At 34.2% G+C, this 25,657-nt stretch overlaps 1 protein-coding gene across 23 annotated transcripts in view; it reads left to right on the top strand.

Annotated features, from left to right (window-relative positions):
- Positions 1-25,657, top strand: part of DCDC1 (doublecortin domain containing 1) — a 506,137-nt gene that overhangs the window by 107,799 nt on the left and 372,681 nt on the right. For all 23 annotated transcript variants that reach the window (NR_170625.1, XR_002957144.2, XR_002957145.2 and 20 more), the window contains one exon: positions 20,325-20,491. Coding sequence is in view for 20 of the 23 variants with exons in the window: in XM_024448478.2 (XP_024304246.1) it covers positions 20,325-20,491 (167 nt within the window). In the remaining 3 variants the exon portion in view is untranslated. The remainder of the gene's footprint in view (positions 1-20,324; positions 20,492-25,657) is intronic.

The raw sequence follows: 25,657 nt of genomic DNA, 5'->3' as shown, positions 1-25,657 counted from the left end.
CACATGGAAGAAGTCATTACTGAATTCAACCTCTACCACAGAAGATGATTTTAATAAAGACATTTTTATTGTTACGTATGAAAAAGTTATTTTGTTATGGTTCTTGTATAAATCTATCCTTTCTACAGTAGAAAGGAGTACACCTACTCACCTACTGTGTACAAATGCCATATTCCTACAGATGGTCAACATGCTGGTACATATACAGTTATTCCTTGGTATCCGTGGGGGATTGGTTACTGGAGGCCTCCCCCATACTAACATCCACAGTTGCTCAGGTCCCTTATATAAAATGGTGTAGTATTTGCATATAGCCTATGCACATCATCCTGTTTACTTTAATCTCTAGCTTACTTATAATACCTAATACTGTGTAAATGTTATATAAATAGTTGTTACACTGTATTGTTTTTAAACTTGTATTATTTTTATTTCTGTATTGTTATTATTATTTTAAAAATGTTTTTCATTCATACTTGGTTGAGTCCAGGGATGTGGAACCCAATAAGATGGAAGGCCGATTATGTATCTATGCATAAACAATACATTGTGCAAAATCACGCCCACCAAAATAACAGGGATATGGGGAAACTAGGGTTTGGGAAAACCATTCAAAAATCTATTAACCTTTAAAACCACAATACTACCTAAAACAATAATGATTAACTTAGGAGATAATGTAAACAGCCTGGGTAGGCATCTCAGAGTGCTGCTTTAGAAGATATTAAAGCTGCACAAAAACAATAGAGTGTGAGACAATGCAGATGGAAGTGAAGTGGAGATTTGGGCCAGTGGGGCTTCCTTTAAGGAATGGGCAAGAGCTAACATTCAAATTCATCTCTATGTTATTGGAATTTTATGATGAAATATATTAATCCTGTACTTAATCTAATTTCAGAATCTCCAAAAAATTTATCAGAGAATATACAACTATTTTGGAATAGAATTCTACCCCTACCCTTTTGGCTTCCTTTGTTTAGGACAAAGCATATATTTATTAACCAAACTTCTGTATCACTTTGACATCATTCCTCTATTTACTAATTATATATCAGCTATTTGCTGTTATACAAGCATTTCAGATGGAAGACAGATGTAGACAGTGTCTGATTTCGAGGGAGGTTTTAAATAACACACTCATTCCTCCTAACATTTCCAAACTTTTTGATCTCTTAACTTCTTTGGCTTAATTATTACATGATGGTGAACCAGAGGAGTCACTCTCCCTCTCAAGGGAGGAGATCCTTAGTCTGTTAGGACTTCTGTGAAGGATCCATTCCAATAATCATACCCTCGTTCTTTGTGGACCCTTCTAGATCATAATGAGTACTGTTAAATTTACCCTAGTGGTTCTGAAATGAGTTAGAATACTACATTAATTAAATTGACTCCAAGGTCATTCTGGACATACTGAATGTTCACTTCCTATTTCATTTCCCACCCCAAATTATGCCCAGCAATTCTGTCCAAAATATTTGTATATTCTCTGATAAATTTCTTGGAGATTCTGAAATTAGATTAAGTACAGGATATTTCATCATAAAATTCCAATAACATAGAGATGAATTTGAATGTTAGCTCTTGCCCATTATCAACTTTTGTGGAGACATTAAAATTAAAAGAATAAAATTTCAAATAAAATCCAAAATTTTAAAGTCCACACAGAAGCAAATTTCAAGATCAAATTATTGTACCTTTTTGAGTTAAAAACCAATAAAGTTTCAAACTCTTCAAGTTAAAGTGCAAAGAAATCAAAGTCCTAATTTTTATTCTTCCCAGTATCAGCCAGATGGCTTCTGGATGCCTGATTGGAGCTGGAATGTCTCCAGCAGCTACCGTCTGGGCTCCTGGAGTGGGTGTCATCCCTTAGGACCTCAGAAGTTGAATTAGGTCTACACCAACATTTTCATATGCCTTGTTTCCAAGCAAACAAAATGATTATCACAACATCAACAACATATCCAGCACATTCACAACAGTAGCCACTCCCAGGAAATGTGGCCACTGCATGCAAAATGATGTTTCCAGGACCCTATGTTTGGCATAATTCAGACCCACATGACTGCTGCCAAAGACCATAACAGAGACTAAGTGAGGGAAGGTAGAGAAGAGAAAATATTATCATCAGTCTTTCCAAGATGCCAGACGGCCCAAGCTGTTGACCAGGCTCTATGACCTGTGACCTAACTTCTTGGGAAGCAATCTCCCATTAAGGCATTAGTTACAGCATAAGTTTACAGTATCTTGAGGGAAAAATTGACCAGTGCACACTGTCTTCTGTCTCAAAGAGGCTGCACAAAGTGTTGGTTAAGTTCCCTGATTTTAGAGCCAGAATTCAAATTCCAGTTATGCCACTTACTATGTGACCTTGGACAGATTATTTAGCTTCTCTGAGAGTCAGTTTCCTTATCTATAAGATAGGAATTATAGTATTTACCTTAACAACATTGCAAAGATTAAGTGAAATATATGTAAAGTCCTTAGAACAAGTGCCTGACACTTGGTAAACAATATAAGGTATAATGTTTCAATAGTATAAAATTAGCTTTTATCATTATTGGCGTTATTATTATTATTTTTCTTTTTTGAGGTGGAGTCTCGCTCTTGTTGCCCAGGGTGGAGTGCAGTGGTGTGATCTTGGCTCACTGCAACCTCCGCCTCCCGGGTTCAGGTGATTCTCCTGCCTCAGCCTCCCGAATAGCGTGGATTACAGGCACCTGCCACCATGCACAGCTAATTTTTTTGTATTTTTAGTAGAGATGGGGTTTCACCATGTTGGCCAGGTTGGTCTTGAACACCTGACCTCAGGTGATCTGCCTGCCTTGGCCTCCCAAAGTGCTGGGATTTCAGACGTGAGCCACCGCGCTCTTAGGGAACCGAGAGTGAGAGTGTTTCATTCTTGCAACATCTGGCAGTTTGTGTTGGCAGTAGCACCAGTCATAAAGACTTATTTGAGGTATCATTTTTCCCTTTTAAAGAATTCCAAACATCTTAATGTTCTTTCCTTTTCTTTTTCTGAGTCAGTGCTTTTAAACCCCATGCTCAACTGAGGGTGATCAATGTCTGGTGGCATAGCATCCATCTTGTCTTAGGAGTGGCATCTTCAATCACAGTGGTTGCTGTAACAGCTTCTGTCTATGGAATTATTTAAGCCTAAGAAACTTACTTCATGGGCACAGTTTCCCCCTCATCTCCACATCAGTTCCAATTGTAGAATAACTTTTGGCGGGTTTCCAAATTGAAGCAGCTATTTGTGTTTCTGAGGCTTATGTGCTAAGGGTCCCAGTGAGGACGAACACTGCTGCCATTTCCTCCTAAGGACATGGTCTTTCCTCAGTTTTTTAATGCTCCTGCTCTTCAGTTAATGTTTCTGTCAGGCACTTCTTTTTCTGCAATGTTTAAGATTTGCTTCTACTATATACTTCTTCCTTTCAGAAAGTTCCCTTTTCTGACAGGCTTGGGGTTAGCATTGTTTGCCACAATTGAGTCTCTTCTTTTCTTTTATTAATACTTTCCTTTTGCTTTCTGGTCCATACTCATATTTTTCTAACATATGCCTCTAGATATTTTTCTTGCAGAGTCTCTCATAGTGAGAGAGATGAAGTCAATCAGTTCTAAGTTTGTCAATAGCATCCTTTGTTCAAACCAGTCTTACCTATTTTCACTTCCGTTAATTAAATAATCCTACCCAGGATGTATTTCTCCCACAGTCTAACATCTAACTTGGATCTGGAGTCTTTGATCAATTATTGTTCTGCCTGGATTTGCTGTAATGTAATTAATCTTGTCTTTGTCTTTCCTTAATCTCAGGCCCATCTATTTTTAGAGTTCACCCAGCACTTTTTTGTAATATTTTATACCAATCTTTCTCTCCAATTTGTCCAGATTTTATGTGCACTCTTTGTATAATTGTCCTATCCTCAAAAGTGATTCCCCAGTTGCTCTTACTATAAATTTATCTGTAATGTAAATACCAACTCTTCTAAGCATTGGAGATACTGTCTCCTCTAGGGGATTGTTCTCAGTCTGCTCTCCAAGATCTTATCTTTATTCTTCTAATAGGTTTCACTGGGTCCCAGTTACTGTTTCTGATTTTGTAACAAATGAAATATTTTACCCTTTTATAAGAACTTCTTTAAGAGAAATTAGACTTGAATGGATCTCCTTCACCTGGCATTTAGGATCTCAGGTTTTAGCGTGTGTGTATGTGTGTGTGTGTATGTGTGTGTGTGTGTGTGTGTGTGTGTTTTCCTATCTGTCAAATATGTGTGCTTGGGTCAGATGCGTACCATTTTTCTAGGGAAATTTCTGATCTCCTCCAGTTAAATCAGTTTGTCTTATTTTATCTTATTTTCATGCATACACTGTTCTATTCTGATCATAATAATTAAGCATATTTTCAAGCCACTTTACTTTCTCCTTGATTCCTTCAGGAATCCGATTCCTCGATTTGTAATACTTTCTTCAAATAGTTTCTGTATCTTAACTGAAGAAGATAGAGTGTTCCTTTTGTTAAAAAAAATCTATCACCTTTCTGTAGGTGAAGCCATAGTTTGGGTTTATGAGATTTAGAACCATGGTTAAAATTTATACGATAAAATGTAGAGCCTACTTTGATTGATAGAGGTTACTTTAAAAGTTTATCAACAAGCCACATGAATCTAATGTTATCTCATCCACATTTCTTTTTTGGCCCAGAATGCAGTTTAATATAACATAGTGAAGAGTAGAATTGAAGGCAGCAGATGTAATGCTTCCTATCTAGGCCCAGTATTAACAATTTAAAGACAGAACCTCACCATCATGCATGTAGAACTCAGTTGCCGTTATCCTTGAAAGCGCTGGCCTACAGATTTACCTTCAAGATACAGAAAAGCAGCAAATATTGTTCCACCTTGCAACACCTAAAATAATGTAATCCCAATCTGAGACTTGCCTGAAGTTTCAGGTGAAGTTCACAGCTTGGTTAAGTAAGCAGTAGCAGCCTACACAGTAAGGAAGGCATGATCAGCTAGTAGAGCTAAGCCCTCCACAGCCCACCTCAGTATACTAATGCCATATGCAATCCCAGCATTTTCTGAACATCAAGACTATTGGAAGATAATCCCAGCTGCATTTAGTAGCTTTGCCCCATCAAGCTCAAATTCTGTGTAGTCTTTGCTTATTATAATAAGCAAATAATTTTATAAAATTTAAGGTCAATTTCCCTATTCTCTATATACAGGCCCATTTGTAAAAATACAACTACAAAGCTGTATATTCAACTACATGACCCAATATAGGCAGCTAGACACCGCTGAAGTTAAAGGCAAACAAACAAATCTTAAAGCCCTACATAGCCCTTGCATGTAAAAGCACCATCAAAACATGACGCCACTCAGTGAAAGCTGCTTCATAAGTCTCAGACTTTTTGTTATTTGCTCTCCAACAGCACTTCTGTATTTCTCAAGGTTTTAGACCAATTTGACCCCATAAGTATAGCACTTTCCTGAGTTTTGTGAGACATCTAGAAATTATTTAACCTGAAGGAGTAGTATAAATCCCAGAATTTGTAGCCAGCTGGTCAGAAGTAAGAGTGGCATGGGGACCCGCCAAACATGTGGCTGTTGTCTTAAGTAAAGACAGTCTTGTGGAGGATTGGACTGTACTCTTAACCTTGCAAACTACTTGCAGTGAACTCACACTTCCCAATTTCAAAACTTACTACAAGTAAAACTACAGTAATTCAAAGAGTGTGGTACTGGCATAAGGATAGGCATATAGATCAATGGAATAGAATTCAGAGTCCAGAAATAAACCAATACATCTGTGGCCAATTGACTTTTGACAAAGGTGTCAAGACCATTCACTGGGAAAAGAATAGTGTCTTCAATCAATGGTGCTGGTAGAACTGGATATCCACATGCAAAAGACTGAAGTTGGACCCATACTTCACATCATAAACATGAATTAACTCAATATGGATCAGCAATCTAAATAAAAGGGCAAAAACCATAAAACTCAGAAATAAACATAGGTTCACATTTTCACGACTGTGGATCTGGCAATCAGTTTTTAGAAATGATATCAAAAGTATGAGCAAAGAAAAGAAAAAAATAGCTAAATTGGACTTCATTAAATTTGGAATTTTTGTGCACCAAAGGACATTATCAAGAAAGTGAAAAGACAAACCATAGAATGGAAAAAATATTTGCAAATTATCTATCTGAAAAGGGTTTAAAACCTGGAATATATAAGGAACTCATGCTCAACAACAAAATACAAACAATTCAATTAAAAAATGGGCAAAGGACTTGAATCAACGTTTTCCCAAAGAAGTTATACAAATGGCAACAAGCACATGAAAAGACACTCAACATCCTTAATCATTAGGGAAATGCAAGTCAAAAATTACAATGAAGTACTACTTCACACATACTGGGATGGCTATAATAAAACTCACACACACATACTCACACACACACACAGAGAATAACAAGTGTTGTTGAGGATGTAAAGAAAGTGGAAGGAACCCTCACACATTGCTTGTGGAAATGGATAATGGTGCAGCCACTTTGGAAAACAATTTGATGAGTCTTCCAAGAGAAAAACACAGAATTACCACATGGCCCTGCAATTCCACTCCTAGATATTTAGGCAAAAAAAATTAAAAACAGGTACTCAAACAAGTATATGTACATGCATGTTTATAGCAACACTATACGTAATAGCCAAAAGCCAAATGTTCATGAATGTTCATGAAGCCAAATGTCCTGCAACTGTAGGAACAAATGGTAGTATATACATACAATGGAATGTTATTCAGCTATGAAAAGGAATGAAATGCTGATAATGCTACAGTATGGGTGAATCTTGAACACATTATGCTCAGTGAAAGAAGCCAGACATAAAAGGTAACATATTATATGATTCCATTTATTTGAAACATCCAGAGCGAATAAATCCACAGAGACAGAATGCAGATTGGTGTTTGTCATGGCCTGAGGGAAAAGGAGACTCTGCTTAATGTATGTATAAGTGGTTTTACTTTGGAATGATGGAAATATTTTGGAACTATATAGAGGTGGTGGTTGCACATTTTGAATCTACTAAATGCCACTGAGCTCTTCACTTTAAAATGGTTGATTTTATGTTATGTGAATTTCACCTCCATATATTATTTAGAAAAAAGACAAATGGAGCAGAACCAATTTGCCCCACTTGTTCCAGCCAAGGTCACCCTAGCTCAGCTGACAGCCAGCTGATTCCAAGACATGTGAGCAAGCCCAGGCAAGACCAGCAGAACCACCCTGTTAACTTGCAGACTCATGAGCTAAGTGAATGCTTATTGTTTTATGCCACTGAGTTTTGTGGTGGTTTGTTGTGCAATATTACTGTGGCAATATGTACCAAATATAGTAAGCTATTTGTACTTCTTAAATGTTATCACATAATTGTTATTCACTATTTAGACAGCTAAATTCTATTCCTAAATCTTAATCCTTTGTATTGTCAGAGTAATCTCCCTAAATATCCCTCAATTTTTTTGTTGTTCAAAATGTTACATTTCATGACAATCTGCACATTCTCGATTTTCACATTAAAGAAACTTCACTATGTGATCTTGCTCAGTCATCCGACTTAATCACCCACAACTCACAAGTACCCAACATGGACCTTTAGTTGTAGCTAGATCAGTCTCTTTAATGTTCCAGAGCATTCAGTGACACATGGGATGCCCAGCTTCCTTACCCTTCTTTATGCTATTTTCTGCTCACTTGGAATAATCTTCCAATTCTCCATCTATTCAAAGTTCAGTGAGTTGTGTCAGTTAGGATATATTATTTTATGGTAACAAATGACTCCACAACTTTCAGTGTATTATTTTGCCCTATAACTTTCAGTGGCTTATAGAAATGTATTATTTTTCACTCATGCTACATGTTGGTGTGGGTTGACTGCAGCTACACTTGCATATGTCAAAGCAAGTCACATGCCATCTTCTTAATTCAACAGTGTGAGGATGTCTGGCCCTTCCACGGGGAAGAGCATTGCAAGTGACACAGCTAAACCTGACATGAATAAGGTGGGAAGTGTACTTTTCCTTCAGGGAGGGGCAACAAATACTTTCAATAATAATGGAATACACTGTATTATCTCTTTTCTAAAATTGGTATTAGTTATATGTTGCTGCCTGACAAATTATCCCAAAATTTAGCAGCTTAAAGAAAAAAGCACATACTATTTCTCAATTTTTGTGGGTCAGGAATTCAGGCATGGCTTAGGTGGGCTCTCTGAGTCTTCTACAAGGCAGGTCAGCCTGCAAAGTTTTAAAATATTATTTAAATCCTACTTTATCTATTTGGTTTACTAATACCTTCTTTTCATAACCTCTTTTGTTTTTTTCTGTATCATAAACCATAAAATTGTTTATACAGTATTTCTGTTTTGTGTATCATTCTTATTTCTTTAACTAAAGATAACTTTTTGTCTTTTACTTTTAAAAAAATCTCCAAGGCAGGGCTTGCAGTGAGCCGAGATCGTGCCACTGCACTCCAGCCTGGGTGACAGAGCAAGACTCCATCTCAAAAAAAAAAAAAAAAAATCTCCAAAACTCTCCTAATATCTACGATGGAACTGGGCATATCATAGGTCCTCAAAAATATTAATATTCAAATAAATAATTAGTAAGAATAGTCTATGTTATAGTGCCTAAAACATAGTGAGAGATGAAAATACTTTTAAGTGAATGAATTAATTAGAATTCCAAAAATTTCTTTGTTGAATTACATTTGCAATGAATTACTCACTATTAACTGCTTTTTGTTGGTAGTTCTCATGCTTAATGATTCACTGACCACTCTGAGTAGTGTTTTGCTACATTCTATAGAACTTTAAAAGCTAGAAGATTCTCATATTTGATACTCAATGTAGTATAAGACAAATGATAATGACTATTTTTTTTCAGTATCTGCTTCAGGACAGTGTTGTTGATTGATTTACTTTTGATCTCAGCATCAGAAGGGCCTTTGGTGATCACCAAAATCTCACTTTGTTCATGAATCTCCTCTAAATTGTCTGCAACAAGTGTCCATCCCGTCACTGCTTGTTCCATTTCTGACAGCTATACTTTCTCTAAAAAATCTGTTTTATATCTAACAGAAATCTATTCTTTTAAATATTTATCATTGGTCCTGAAATTAATTCCTAGTCTGTGATTGCCTTTCATATATTTGAATATGTATCATTTAAGTGTTTCGAGGTTAAATATCCCTAGCCTCTTCAACTATTTATCTGGCTTCTCATCATCCTGCTCACTCTTCTCTGTTCTGTCTAGTTATTTCAGTATTCCTCTTTGTGGGGCCCTAAATTGTACACAGTTTTCCAGGTCAATCAATGATGAGTAAAACAGCCCTACCCTCTCTTTTTTTCCAGGTCAGTATGTTACCTAAAATTGCATTATTATTCCTATTAGACACATCATATAATTAATCTATATTGAACTTGCAGCCAATGAAAGCCCCCAAATTTATTTTCACAATTTGCTTTTAAGCTACTTCTTTCTTATCTTGTATTTGTAGTGCTAGTTATTTAGATGTGAGAACAGATCTTTACATATGAATTCCTACTAAACTTCTACCTCTAAGATTTTTATTTAATAGTTTAGCCTGTCCAGATCTTTCAGATATTTAATCTGTCACCCGGGAATTTAAATTTAGTAAGCATTCCAACTTTACCTTGTCCAAGTTATTATAAAAATGTTGACTAGGCTGTGATTAGGGCAGAGATTTACAGTATGCTAATAGTCCTGCTTTAGATTATATTAATCCTCCAAGAATATGGTTGTTTATTTAGTGGAGTCTGCAAGCTCACTTATCTCTAACTTAGACACAAGTCTTTTAATTTTATCATTCTATTAACACTATTTTAAAAACGATTTCATTCTTTCATAGCTTGCATACTGAACCAATACTTTAATTGTATCATGGCCTGAATGGCCTTCATGATTTGGTTTCTTCATTCCCAACTTCTCTATCTTTACTTAGTATTACTGGCTCCTTCCACTCTGCACTCAAATCACTTTGTTTCTGTTTCTCAAACACTCTCCTTCATGCCCCAGTACCTTATCACATGTTTCCTTATCTTGGATTCTCTCTCACCCTATCCTCTTGGCAGGCTATTGCCTACTTATGTTAAGGTCTTTATTTAAATATTACTTCTGAGAAACTTTCCTGACTCTCTCTTGCTCCTATTCCCCTTCCCTATCTCATCTAGGGTGGTGTATTTCTTAGGGTTATCCATAGAAACAGAATCTATTTATAGTGTCTCTCTCTCTCTCTCTCTCTGTTTCTCTGTCTCTCTCTTAATTTGTTTTAAGGAATTGGTTCACGTGATTATGGAAGCTGAGAAGACTCAAGCTCTATAGTTGGCAAGCTGGAGATCCAATAGAATCTATGCATAGTTAGTTACAGTCCAAGTTACTCAACCTTTTTGTTCTATTCGGGCCCTCATTTGATTGAATGAGGCCCACCAACATTAGAGAGGCCAATCTGCTTTACTTAGTCTACTGATTCAAATATTTATCCTATCCAAATGCTTAAACATCCTCACAGACACACTCAGAATAATGTTCAGCCAAATGTCTGGATACCCTGTGATCCCATCAAGTTGGCACATAAAAGTAGGCATTATAGATGGGTATCCCTGTTACATTCATAGCACCCTGTGTATAGTAATTATCACAACTGCAATTAATAAAACGACTTGGCAGTTATTTGTTTAATGTCTGTCTTTCATCTAGAGTGTAAACTACATGAAGGTGAAGATTTTGTAAACTTCTCTGTATTCCCATGTTCAGCATAGGGCTAAATAACAGAGTAGATATTGTAAAATAGTATAAAAATTAGGGGGCTGGGCATGGTGGCTCACACCTATAATCCCAGCACTTTGGGAGGCTGAGGTGGATGGATCACAAGGTCAAGAGATTGAGACCATCCTGGCCAACATGGTGAAACCCCATGTCTGCTAAAAATACAAAAATTAGCAGGGCATGGTGACACGCACCTGTAATCCCAGCTACTTGGGAGGCTGAGGCAGGAGAATCGCTTGAACCCAGGAGGTGGTGGTTGCAGTGAACCGAGATCACGCCACTGCACTCCAGCCTGGCAACAGAGCGAGACTCCGTCTCAAAAAAAAAAAAAAATATTAGGGATGCTGCCTAACATAAGTGGAAAATTCAGGCAATGAGAGAGGGTCTAGGTCTAGTCAAAATGCTCCTCCTTCTTGGGTGCTCTAAAAATGCCTAGTACTATCCTTGTACATCTAGCACTGCTCCTGTTCTGCCAAATGTGGAATTCTGCAATAGTTCAGACTGTCTAGGCTCCAGGAACAGCATTGCTAATGGAAAATTATATCTAACGGAAATCTATTCTTTAAGGGGTTTAGGGTGTTTTAGGGGGGTTGGGGGTGACTCAAAATGATATAAACTGTAGCCTAAAGTCAAGCCCCAGGCAGGGATATATATATATATACATATATATGTATATGTGTGTGTGTGTGTGTGTGTGTGTGTGTGTATTCATTCACTCTGATTCCTTTCATAACTTTCTTCAGGAAAGAAATTGTGAGCCAAGGCAGCATCCACTCATAATTTTTTTTTGCCTTGTTTTGGATACTAAGTAATATAATTCTCTTTGACTTTTAAATAGAATCATTTAAAAGCAAGCAATCATGAATTCTAAATAGAGGACTTAAATAGGAGGTTTGTAAACATTACATGTTCTCCTACTTTGTCTCCTACAGATACACCCATTTATCTGGGAAGGGGCATACAGATTTGGCAGTACCTTTCTTAAAGACAATAGATGGTAGCCACAGTGTATTGTGACCTAGTTCCCACTGGAAGAAATATTGTTTATATGTTGGTGTAGGAAATCTCAAGCTCCATGTAGGGAGCTTGAATCTCTCTCCATGCAAGAATCTCTCTCTCTGTTCATTAAATATTTGTTTAGTAGTCAGTGATCCCATGTTGGGTCCTAATGATTACTGTATGTTTTCCTGAGTGTTCACAAACTGTTTTATAATCTGTTCTACAACTTTTTAGGGAATTAAGATTAGGCTTATGGATAAAGTTTCTTCTTTAAATTTAAGTGTATTTGCCTCTCTTCAATCATTGAGTTCCTTAGCATTTACCTTTACTTTTCAAATTTTATGAAATGTAACAATTTAGGTCTCTTGCTGAAGAAGGGTGCTAAGTGCTGGCAATAATTAATCAGTCCTTAAATCTCTCTAGGGCAAGACTTGGTATACACAAAGGCAGCCAGTTAAGAGCCTGTTGTGTCGGAAAGATGCTGCTCAGGAAGTCTTCATTCCTTGGACTTGCAGTCTCTTTGACTTTTCCTTGGTTCCAGGGTTTCTTAGACATGGTCCTCAGGGTCTTCTAGTGACTTCCTGGCATAGGACTTCATCTACCCTTGTTGCTTATGTCAAAAACAGAATGTGGTTAAGTAACCACTAATTTATATTTTTACTATTGATCTACAGAGGTTATCAAGAATTTTGCTAAGGCTTGAGTTTTAAAAGTGTTTTAATGGCAGTTGGAGATCTCCCATTATATAATTGGATCACTGTCATCTTTTATTAAATATGTGAAGGCAGAACTGTGCAATATGAACATTCACAAAGTAGTCTAATTTATTTGTAGACTCTTTAATATTTTCAGAAATTCCCTGTTGAAATCTTTAAAACATAAGCCCTCTTTTATATTCATGAAGATATAATCATCACTCCTAGTTTTTGTTGGGGTACACTTGTTTTAGTCATTCATGTAATTTTTAAACCAAATCCTTGCTTTTAGAAAATCCTTAAGTTTGTCTTTCTGTCTTCTGGTTTTTATGTCTCTTATTTTTCAGCCTTAGAACTCTAAAGCCAAAAATCCTATTCTGACCCTAATGACTTGTCCATGATCCCAGAAGTTTATTATGAAATATATTGTAATAATTGCCAATGAAAACAAACAGCCTAATTGCTACTACCTGTTATAAAACAATGTCTTACATAGCTCTCAGCATTTAACAGTTATGTAAAAGAACACAACTCAGCAGAGATTATCTTTCTCCTAAGAGTTTTTAGAAGAGAGAAGAAATCGTAGACAAAAATATGTAAAAACACTAATTATAGAAGATTCTGTCTTTGTGAAACAAACATGGAGAAATAAATGTCAAAGGGAATCCTCCATTTTTATTGCTGAAACGATTAGGGCTTTTTTTAGTCTGTCACATTTAAAGTATAAATCTCTCTTGACATATCTATTTGCATCTTAAATAAATCATTAACATGTAAGTAATATGTTGACTTAGTATTTACATTCAAGGGTACCAAACTGTTTTACTCACATTAGCTGACTTTTAAGTCTCTGAATTAGGTATGTTTGTTCTGGGTATTATTATTATTCCTACTTTGAGTCTTAAAAGAAGGAAATAAAAGAACAAAAAGGTTAACTACATCTTTAGACTTGTATTAATGTGACTGTACAATGTAACAGTGGAATTTCAAGACATTTTATAATTAGCTTGCTTTTGAATGTTATTTACATATGTAAGTGCTTTGTGTAATTGATCTTATTCCTATGTTTTACTTTGTTTTCTATTACTTATTTTCTGACTGAGTCAAAAGTTAATTTGTGCCTAATTTAATACCATTTGGGTTAAACTTTTTGGGATAGTAATATAAATACAAATACTCTCAAGTAATAAAAATGTCAGTTATTAGATCAAGTAATTATATAATGACATTTCTAAAGACCATTACTTCTATTTTAGGTTAGATTTATTTGTTGAGTTCTGTGCATTATCCTCCCTAAAACTAACTCTAAGATAATACTTTAAGTTTTTGTATGGAACTTTAAAGTTTACAATACCATGTCATGCATTTTCAATTTTATGTATTGGTATAGGCCATGGCCACATAAAAATTGACTAGGTATAGTTAATTCTCAGTATTTCTTTAAGTAATCTTAAATTGCATGTATGCCAAACCAATTATTTTACATTACTACTAAATATCAAATATTTTAGAAGTCCAAGAAATTGAGTTCACAAAATCCTTGTATTTTCAAAGACACACACACACTATTATTTTTGTTGAAGGGGAAAGAAAGATCAGACAATAGAATCCCAGCTTATTTCTACTTGTATAAATCAAGTCATTTAAATAAATGAATTGTGTATGCTGACCTGTTCTACCAATGTGCTACTGGGGATGTATGAAAAAAAGATGTGCATGGTGGTGGAAGTAGAAAGAGGCATAAAGCGTATTGGAAAACTACCAAATGTCCCCTGCAAATGGGCCCTATTCAGAATCAGTAAGCGTATGATGAGTGAAGTGGTTTTGAATATCGCCTTTAGATTCCATGCTGTTACAAGGCCAGCCCTGAACATGGCAACTCTTATTTCCACACACAGTACCTCTTCACTCTCAATTTAACCCCCAAATCTGATGAACCCATTACTCCATACTTGATTTCATGGAACAAGGAGTAGATATAGTTACAAATGATCAATCACAAGCCGTGAACCAAAGCAGCAAGGCATTAACAATTCACACCATTTCGGTCCACTTGCTCAAGCAGAAGATGTGCCAGCATATTTAATGCACAGCTACTTCGTTCAGTTTAAGAAAAAAAACATGACTCAGGCTGCATTTTCAAAATGGAGAGGACTTTCTAAGATTTCATACCTCCTAAGCCTTAATGTCAACATTCATCCACACATCAGCAATTAAAATAACCAGGTGTCCTATAAAGGTCATAATGTCCAAATTAAATTTTACTCAGGTAAAAACAGTATGACCTATGAAATTCTTCCTGCAATGCATCACTATTCTGTTTGATCCTGTCGTACAAATCAATGTCTCTTACAGCAGTATTATAACACTGTAGACCCCACAGGCAATATGCCGTCAGTTTAATAGGATCACTGAAAAACTAAAGCAGCTGTGAAAGATTGCTCTAAGTATAGCAATCATGTGCTTGTCATTTTGTTCAGTGGAGGAAAAATCCAAATTTGGGTAGGCATTGGTATTTAAGAAAACCACTGCTAAATCTTTTCTCATAAGTACCTTAGGGACAATAAGATTTGACATATAGCATGTAAACAAAAGTACACAGCAGCTGTTAGTTTAGTTTTGTTTGGATAAAAATACACTGATATAAATCAAGCAACACAGGAGACAGTGTGTTCTCCGTCATTCAATCTTCCCTGCAGACCATGCTTTTGAATGGTGTCTGATGGTTGCTGTGGGACCAGGAGCTTTCCAACTATTTCGTAAAGCTGGATAAGGAACATTAAAATACACACATACCTTGGCACTAGCTCAAACTCCCTGCAGTCATACTTCCTGGACTGGGAAGCAGTCACATCTTAGTATCTTTTAAAAACTTACCTTGTTTTGACCAAAGAAGACTTTTTAGGTCAACTTCATTTAAAAAAAAAAAAGCCAATTGAATAGGTTGAATTGGTGGGAAATTCCCAAATGTCTTGGTGTATTTCTAAATGATATCTTGTTAGCAATAGCCAAGTATTTTAGAAGCTGGATCTGCAGCTTGCTGCCAAAGAATATATAGAAGTTTCTTTATAGGTAACTATACTCTGGGCAGTGTGCTTTTCTTTCATAGTCTCATGTACTCTGACTGAAATGTGAAAATTACAATATTATGTAAATTATGGTTATGGATATTTAATTGGCGTGACTTAATTTTTTATTGTAAGCAAGTTATTAAAGCCTTTGATTATTCCCTGTGCTTCTTGAAATGCTATTAACAAAAAATCCTGATCTTTTTAGCTTTCCATATTTGATTGAAATGCAGTATGCACATGGCCCTTTCAATGTAGGATGTTGCTTTTGGAGAGGGATATATATTCCCTCGGTATAGATCATGACAGAATATTCCAGTCTAAATCTGATAGACAAATTTGATTAGCTTTGTGGTTTCTCTTTAGAGAGATTTTTGGTTCCTTATCATGTACTGCCTCCATTATGTATCCCAAGTAAGTTCACACTTCTTATCAGTGATGAAAGTTTTAATAGAAGATCCTCTTGAAGCCTGAACAGTTTATTTTCTTATTTAACATTTGAACTCATTTTTGGGGTTCTTAGAAGAAATTACCTTTTTTATTTAAAAGAGTTATTTTGACCTTAATCTAATATTATTGCTCTGTCATTTAAATTTTATTATGTGCCTTTTCCTATAGAAGCATGATTTATGACAAGGTAGGATAAAGTACATAAGAGTTTTCCAAGGACTTTTTAAAAATACCCATCTCTGGCCTTCTCCTGTCTAGTTAATGCTTCCTTCCCAAATCTTATGGCTTTCTTTTTATATTTATTTTCCTCCTTAGTCTTCATAATCATATAAGGAAAATTAAAATAAAAACAATTGCACACATCCTAAATATGCTTTGAAATTCGGGTATATTCATGTTTATTTAACAAATTCAGATCAAATTTTTTTAGGTTATAGAAAGTTACAGGTTCTAAATGATCATGGATAGTTGTAGTTATGTTCTTAAAACTTACCCAGAAGACTGTCTACAGTATATCTGCAGTACCATTTATTCATCTAGTAGACATTTGTTGAGCACTGCTTTCACTAAACTAAAAAATATCGTGACTTCAAACTCCAAAAGGTTTTAGGATTTACTGGGGGATGAAAGTGGGAGGGGACAAGATATGGACTAATACAAATCAATAAGAAAAAAAAAAAGAGAGAGAGAATGCTATGGGAGGCATAGAGGAGGGAGCAATTAATTCTACCTAAATCATTTAGGATATTTTGCCAGAGGTGGTAACATTTGATATGAGCCTTGAAGGACAAGAATATATTAATAGGTGGGGAAAGAGGGGAGGAAATGGAAAAGGAATGAAACAGCGTGAGTGAGAAAGGTATTGGTTGATAATTATGAAATGAATATAGCTACTAGTTTTGGTTATATAATCTGTTTACCTATGATGCTCACTACCAGCTCTGTCCAGTGGAGTTACTCTTTTTTGGTCACATGATTTATCAACAGCCTCAGTCTTAGCTCCAAACTCATTGAAATGATTGGATTAATTTTAATTTTGCCCTATAGTCATAACTTGAGATGAAACAAAAGGAATGAAAAGTAATCATCCACATAACTTTTCACCTTTCCAGGGGTGGAAGTGATCCCAATGAAATGATTCCATTTGACTGATGTCTGCATAATTGCTAAATTTAAGGGATGATTAACTTCCAAACCATTTAATATGAAATGTTGAGGGTTAGCTTAATGAAAATACACAAAAGAGAAGTTCTTACCACAATCATGCAAACAGAAGAAACTAGGTAGAACACCTGTAATAAAGGCCTTTCACATAAGAAGAAATGTTTATGTGTAGTTACGCACACAAATATTAAAAGACCATAGGATAACTTTCTTGAATGAGTCAATATTTCTACATAGTAGTTTGAATATTTCTACATAGTAGTTTGAAGACAGAGAAGCACATGGTTGGAAGGACACAAAAATAATAAGGGAAAAAGAGAACTCTACATAAAAGAGAAGAAAACCATTGGTTAAGAGCACTTATGAGCTATGATTTGGTATAGAATATTAGGAATATCCACTAAAACACTTAAATAACTAATTCACATCCAGTTAAAATCTATGGGTTGAGGTTAAAAAGTAGAGCGACTTCTTTTTTAAAAAATCAATTATTCAATAATATTTTAAAAGTATGTTTTAGGCCGAGGCTCCTTTTTAAATGGACAGTTCTTTAATTCTAACTGCTTAATAAATATTATTATTTTTTAGTATAACGTAGGCTGATTTATACATCATTTTTAAGTACTTAGGCGTATCATTTTCTTATGTTTTCTGTACCTTCCTAGTTAGTGGAAACATTGTTTGTTCTTGGAGTGTGCTTTGTCTTCCTTTTCAAGAAGATCATCAAAGTTACTAGTTTGCAGCTTCTAAAAAGAAAGAGCCTTCTAATCCCTAGTTCAGAGGCTAACCTTTATTAGTGCTCTGGTGGTTATAATGAGGACCCTGCTTCCTGCAGGGAGATTCTGGAATACTGAACAGATTATTCAACAAGTTCAGAGCAGATTCTGAAGTCCCTTATAAAACCTGCTTGTGAATACTGCTTTCTTTGCTTTGCTGTTTCTGGTTTCCATAGTATTCCTAATTACATAAATCATGTGGAACATGGGAGCTGTTTTCCATCCAGTAGCAATTCTGACACTGCTTATGCTGTGGTATAATTTTATTTTATTTTCTAAGCTGTATTTTTTCTAAAATTCTTGTGGAGAGTATAAACTTTGAAAAACTTAGAATTTTTGTTGTTAGATCTAGTAAGTGCTTTTTTTGGAATCCCTTGAGCTGACATAAATAATCTGAAAGTTATTTTGTGACAAGCATAGGTAGAGAATCTGATAAAATTTTCTCATGTTTAAATTCAAGATTAACTCTAGGGTGTAAATCATTCAAGCTTATCACCTACTGCTCAATTTATTAAACTTTATTTCAACTTAATATCTATTTATGTAGTGCCTTTCAATGTTCAAAAAGTATGCCAGGTTCAATGAGTATACCAATTAAAGGTGTATGAATTAAAATCTAACACATAGTAATATATGAATGTGTAGCAATAAACTAAAAGCACTGATGATTCTTAAGCTAGGTTTCTTTTGAAAAAATTGTAATCAAGGTTGCTTTATATTATACATTTTTAAAGGTTGAAGAGTTATAATTCTGAATATAAGCTCGTTTATCTTTTAATTTTTATTGCTTTTATAATATTTATGATCTTATATTTTTTTAAGTTTGAGTTGTTTGTTATAAGACTTAGAAAAGCAATTACTCTAAGACAGTATAAAAATGAGGTTGATAGATGAATTTCAGGAATTAGTTTCTCAAGCTAAATAAGTGAATTTTATGCACACATCTAAGAAGATGTTTCAATAGTCATTGGCTCATAATTTCCTCTTAACTTTATACTATATTAGTAACAAAATCTTGAACCCTGTTTTCAACATTCTCCTTAGTGTTGAACGTATTAGACAGACTTTAAATTATGCTTTGGTAGAGAGTTGTGGAACTTAGTGCCATAAAATGCATAACTTTTTTACCAAGAGCAAAATTTAGCAGAATACCAGTAGCAAAGGCTATTTGCATAACTCAGCCTCTCAGCAGCTCAGCTGAACCTAATTGTAATTCAATTTCCAGATTGCTATGCTAGGCCTTTCTGCATAAAATATGCAACATATAACATAACTAACGGCATGACCTATTTTCTTTGCCGGACCTATTTTCTTTGCCGGTGATCTATTTAATTCCTTTTTCTAGCAGAAATGTGTATCAGAATAAGGTAGCCAATACCTATAGTTATTTTGCATGTTTAAGTTTGTGTCACATGTATATACTTAAATAATGACCAAGTAAAGAAAAATATCATTTACTTTTTCTGGATTCCCAAGTGTGCCATTTTTATTTCTTGATTTCTGGCTTTTCAGAGGAAAATTAAATCTTGAAAAATGTTAGCTAGCTGCCATGTTATTGGACTATTTTACACTAGAAAGACTTTATTAACTAATCGTGTGAAAAAGTGTATAAACATGTTTGTCAACTCCTTATGGATGTTGCAGTACATACCCATAAGTAAATATCTTTTATCTATTTACAAAACGCATGCTGGAATAGCATTCCTAAATCCTTGACTGTTTCATATTCCAGAAACTGAAAAAAGAAAGGTATGATAAAATGCTTGTTTAAGATTCTGCCCCCTGTTTTTAAACAGTCTTGCCACGCTGTTGTATGGGTTACTTAAGGAATGCAACAAAAATCATGAAATAGGATGGTTTATAAAGGTGTGGATTATATTTTATGAATAATTTCCAGATGCGATGTTTTAGGTATATAGAGTGCTCTACAAGAAGCTATGTACAGAAACAACATGGATCTTACAGTTTTATCAGGACAATGCAAGTAGGTTTCAGCAAGGTTGGTTCCAACTCATCTGTGATAAATGAGAAGATAAGGCAATCAGTGCACACCATGACACTCTGTGCAGCTAGTTAGGCACACTTCAGAACTATTCAGGTGTGCTCACAAAGCTTATGAGTCTTGCATGGGGGGTGTCTCAATATAAATACATCCTTCATGGTGGCCACTAGTAACGCAGGAATTGCCTCTCTAAGACTTAACCCAGGTCAGTTATAAATAATAGATGTTAAGAGTTAGCTCTGGTATTGGGGCTGTGTTCCAGGCAGTGTATTTCGGTTGGGTTGGGTCAAAAGAATTTTTTTCCCTTCTTTTCTTGCATAGTTCCTCTGCTTGAAAAATGCCTGCAAAATTCCATCACACCTTTGCGAGGACTACTTTGGGTCTCTAAGGGAGAAGGTTTCAGCCCCTCAGGAGCTAAGATGTACATCCAAGGAGTTCTTTTGGCCCTGTACCAACGATTAAAGTCTGCAAAAAAATATTATAAACAGGTGAGTCATCCCTCTTTAAAAATTTCTTTATTATATGTTTTAAAAATATACTTGGTTGTATAGAGGCAATGATTGGCTTTGTGTCATAAAAGAACTGTGACATGTATTTTGTGAGCTCAGTGCCTGTTAGGGAGCCAAAAATGCTGTTTCTGTAATCTCAAAGCCAACAATAATGGAGCTAATTGTATCTGTCTTTTGGTATAAGATGTCATATGTCTCATCTTTTCTTGCAGCGCATACTGGGCAAAGTGAAGGCAGCTTCTTACATGGAAATTCTATAGACAATTACTTTAAATAAGAGAATAAATAGCTCCTAAGTCATTTGAAGGTTGAAATGTTTAGCATTCTATTTTTTTCCAGCATAAAATCAGATTTATGGGGGCTAGAATACAACAAATCACATTCTGAAAAATGAAATCGTGAATCAACTTCATGTCAAGAGTAGCTTACTTCATTTATCCTTATTTAACTTGTCTGTTTCAGGAGTCAAAAGTATAGAAACAGAGTTAGTTTATTTGAATCAGGTTAAACCGGATTTTGTCCTTTAATTCCTGTGTATTTATTTCATGTTTGTATGTGTGTGGGTAAAGGCTGGTATTTTTATAATCATGTATAGGGACTTTTGATTTATCTTAAAGTAGGATTCACATTTGTAAAGCAGAATAACTGATGCCATTTATAACATAAAAATGGAATTGCCACATTTAAAAAATCCTCTTTGTACTTGGTTTTAAGAATCGAAGCACATGTTTTTACCAAGCTAAATGAGGACTAGGTTTTATATTTTGAACTGGGAGGTTCCAGTTTAGAACTGGGCTCATTATCCGAGACCACAGACTGCTGAAAAATGAATATTTTGAAAGCATCATGCTATATTATTCTCTGCTTGCAGAGAGGAAGGGGAGGTGGGAATGGGCTATCAGTCTTAGTGTTCACACAGCACCTCCTGCTGTCGAGTTTGGAAAAGAACAACTTGTATTGACTTTGGAATAAAGTGTTGTACTAAGGTATCCAGAACTAGCAAAAAACATCTTCCCAAGAAAACTTCGCAAAATGTGTTTGGTTTGTCTCGTTATATTCAGCAAATCCAGAAACAGGATTATAATTATCATAGATAAGACTATTCATAATAATACAATGAAAGAAAGAAAAATCCAAACGAATGTTCTTTATTAAGCCATTATATATAGAAACTAGTATAAAATATTTTATTGCATTTAGATTAAATTATTGTAGTTGAAATATTATTTAAGTTTTAAGATATCATGATATTATAAAATGGATCATGATTAATTGCATTACAATAATTTTTTGGAATTAATGTGGTTTGATTCCACTTATTGAAATTTAAAATTATTTAATGTTAGAAGAAATAATGAGACAATTCTCCAATTCAGGAAAAGCACTGTTTAAATAAAATCTAAAGACAAGCTTAAACATTTTCTAAGTTTTATTTCAAGTAAGGATGTTAGAAATAAGAAACATCCCAGAAATAATGGCATGTTTTTCTTCCACTGTCTTAAACATGTAAAATTTAAAGAAGTATAAATTGCTATACTAGATTTAAAAGAGCTCTGTGCATTGTAAGAAAAAAATACTTTCAGAATTACTTACTGCTTTCATTAAAAAATTCTTTATGACTCAAAATTGATGAAAAATATATTTTATTAAATATTAAATTATGAACAAAATTTAACATTTTAGTGTCTCTGTGATTGTCTGTTTGGGCAGTCTGTAAAGATTTCAACATTATATGAAATTTAAGAATATTTTGAAACCTATGCTCTTTGCCATTTCTCCTAAAGCTTTTTTCTTCCACTAAGTTGTAATAATTCATAGCTTTACATTCAGCAGTTTTAATATGATACTTAAGTTTTATTTGGAAATATAAAAATGAAGAAAAATAAGCAGAAGTTTGCTCATTATGTATTTTTATGTAAATTTCTGTTGCTTTAGATGTGCTCTATTTTATGTATGCTTGAGGTTTTCTTCTTTTGTAGTGTTATATTAAGACTTAATTTAAAATTATTTGAATGTTTAGAGAAGTCCCTGTAGTCATACCCTTAACAGACCATCAGTGCTTAGGTGTTAAGCCTGACAATATCTTTATTTGTGAGTGGGATTTCCTAGCAAATATCCTTCTTAAGAATTAATGAACTTTGTTTCAACTACACTTACTTCATTTGACCTTTGGTATAGCCTTTTCTATTTAGTTTTATATAAGATTGTTTTAAAGAATCTTTAGATAGGTGAAATGGAGGTAGATGATGATTCCTATTTCCTTAACAAATTAAAGTTTATAAATCGTATGATTAGATTATTCTTGATATTATTTCAATTTATTTCACTTTTGAGACCACATATAAAAACAACAATATTATCTTGATGTCTGTCGAAATATAAGCTTTAAATTTTGTCATTCCCAAAGGAAATTTATTTTAAATAAATTGCGATAATATAGCTTTAAAAGAAAAGTCAGGGCTACTGGTTTTATGTTTACAAACTTACTCATTTTTCAATTTTTAACTTTAGCTTGGCTGTTATAGCATGCAACTGATTTAAGCACACTACATTAGGGTGGTCTTAAATATATACTGATTCGTGTGTATTAAAATGAGATATTTTATTTAGAACAGCACAAAGTCACTTAGACATACATTTATCACATTTATTTCCTTAAAAGTGGAAGCATCTTGGAAATTGCTTGGAGCTAAGCAGAATCTATTTAATTGGTAATCTTTGCAATTGCATAAACGCATTCCTATGAAATGTAGTTAACACTTTCAGCGACAGGGCCGTTCCATCTCATTAGCATTCTTGTTATGTAGTGGTGCTGTTGGTGGGGGTGTTGAAGTAGGAATGCCATTGTGTCGAGTTCTAGTGTTTGGGGACAAACACTGCTGTGGAAGGAACGTGTGAAAAGGCCACAGTCCTGTCAGTGAATGAGGAAGGCTGTGCTTTCTGTGTGCTTCAAGCAGGGAAGCTGTCATTCATAGGCCTAACACAGCTAAGGAGAGGCCAAAACACAAGGCTGCACTACCTTTTAAAATGATATTAGTGATTTTTAAACATGATGTTCTTTATTTATCATCCCACATAGAGCTTTTAGTTGCTGTCAGTAAACAAAATATGGCAGTCTGTTGAGAAACACTGTAAAGATGCATAAACGTGCATGGAGCTGTGCCAGGCAGCTATACAAGTAATGACTCAGAATGGCTGATGGGCAGTGTTAAGTACAAATGTGATTTTTGAGAAACACTCATTTCTGAAAATGTCTTCCCAAGTTTGAATTTCCCCGCCAACCAACAAAATTCCTGGAGACTTTTACATAAGAATGCATAGTACTTTTTTTTTTTTAAATACAATTTTTGAAAGCACTCATAAACTTTCAGTTTTAATCATTTAAAGCTGTTCACAGTATGGCCTAACAGTTCTTATAGATTGCATAGTTATTTTTGAAATTCAGAGAGAAAAAAGGGAAATGAGTATCTATTATATCATGGTAAGCACCATCTTAATTAGGAAGAGTCATAGCCCCTGAATTCATTAAGCCATGAAAAAATGTGAATCTGTGAATTTAAGAAATCTTAAGGAATTTTTAATTCTACTCCTAGTTTTTAGCACTTCGGAATAAAATGATTGTTTGATATTAAATTTTAGCTGATTTGATTACTTAAAGCAAAATAAATAAACCAAAGTATTCTCCAATATTTCTTAAATTCTTGGGGTATTTTCTAAACTTTGGTAGTGTATTGAAAAACACTGCAATTTCTATTTATGTCTGAAGTTGTGGGAAAATGTTTTATTTCTGTAATTTTAATTTTGAAATGTGTATTTGAGCTATTTGTAGTAAATCATTACTTAATAAAGTTTGTTGAGGTTTATATAATTTTTGGCCCGAGTGATTTAAATTTAAATTTTTTTGCATGTATGTAGTCTCTTTTGTTTATTAATTTAAGCAAGTTAACTTTTTTGGATGCTGTTATATATGTTATATGTAAAAGTTCTATATTTGGCATATTGTGTTTAGCAATCTCAGGTACTGAATTTCTATTTCAAAAATTAGGTTTTACTTTTTAAATTGTAACAATATTGCAGATTTATTTTGTGGGCATATTATTTGATGAGGAAATAACCATCTAGCTTGAGTATATATTGTTTTTGCAGTTTAAAATTGAAATGTATTTTGTTAACATACTAAAACTAAGCTCTACCAAAGCACTTAGATTTTGTTTAAAAAATTGTGTAAGTTAATGTTGGCTCACTTTATCCACACTTTCAATAAGTTTGGTAATTAGGTATCAAACAATAGTATAATATAATTCTATCCAGAATTGATTCATCTCAAAATATGCTTGAATTACATTTATTATTGACAAAATTTGTTTATTGCATAAAGTATTTTAAAAGGAATCTTAGTATTTTAATTTTTCAAAAAAGAAGTGCTTGAAGTTTGTCTTTTCAGATCCTGTGTCAATTAAAATAATTTATTGGTTCTACATCATTGAATGAATAACTATCTCTATTTCATTTTCTGTATATACTTTAAAAATTGAGCTGTTTCTTTGACTTAGCCTTTCTGTGACAACACTTAAAATATTTCAGTTTTTAACAAACTTCCTAATTATCCTTTGAAACCTTGGAACAAAATCTATAATATATAAACATAATATACTATTAAAAACATGAAAATAGTGTGATAGTCATTTCGAGATGAAAACTACTTCTGAAGGTTCTGGTAAGTAATTTTTTTTAGAATATTAGGTTGTTTGTAGATTTGAGTGATTGTTGATTTTTTTTTTCCTGAAACCAAGCTGCATTCTAGTTACTTGAAGTATTTTAAGAACCTTAAACTTGTGTCTCTTTCTAAGTGTCATGCTTTGAGCAGGCCTAACATCAGTTAAATGAAGTGAAAATTGCATTCTTGTCTTGATAGAGATGAAAATGGATTTCTGGTCATGAAATAGATGTAGTTGTCACTTTTTAAAAAAGGTGTCAGCAGTTTGCTTCAGTGAGTAAGGTGCCAATTCAGTATGGCAGTAAACTTGTGATCTGAGCAATCAATAAAATGCTTCAATAACTTCTGCTTCATTACACTTATAATAAGAGGCTATAGATCCATGGCACATAAAATGTTGATAAAGAGGATATGTGGAGATCGACTGT

The sequence above is a fragment of the Homo sapiens genome, chromosome 11, assembly GCF_000001405.40.
Source record: "Homo sapiens chromosome 11, GRCh38.p14 Primary Assembly".
In the NCBI taxonomy this organism is placed as follows: Eukaryota; Metazoa; Chordata; class Mammalia; order Primates; family Hominidae; genus Homo; species Homo sapiens.
This window is presented reverse-complemented; position numbering and strand designations above follow the sequence as displayed.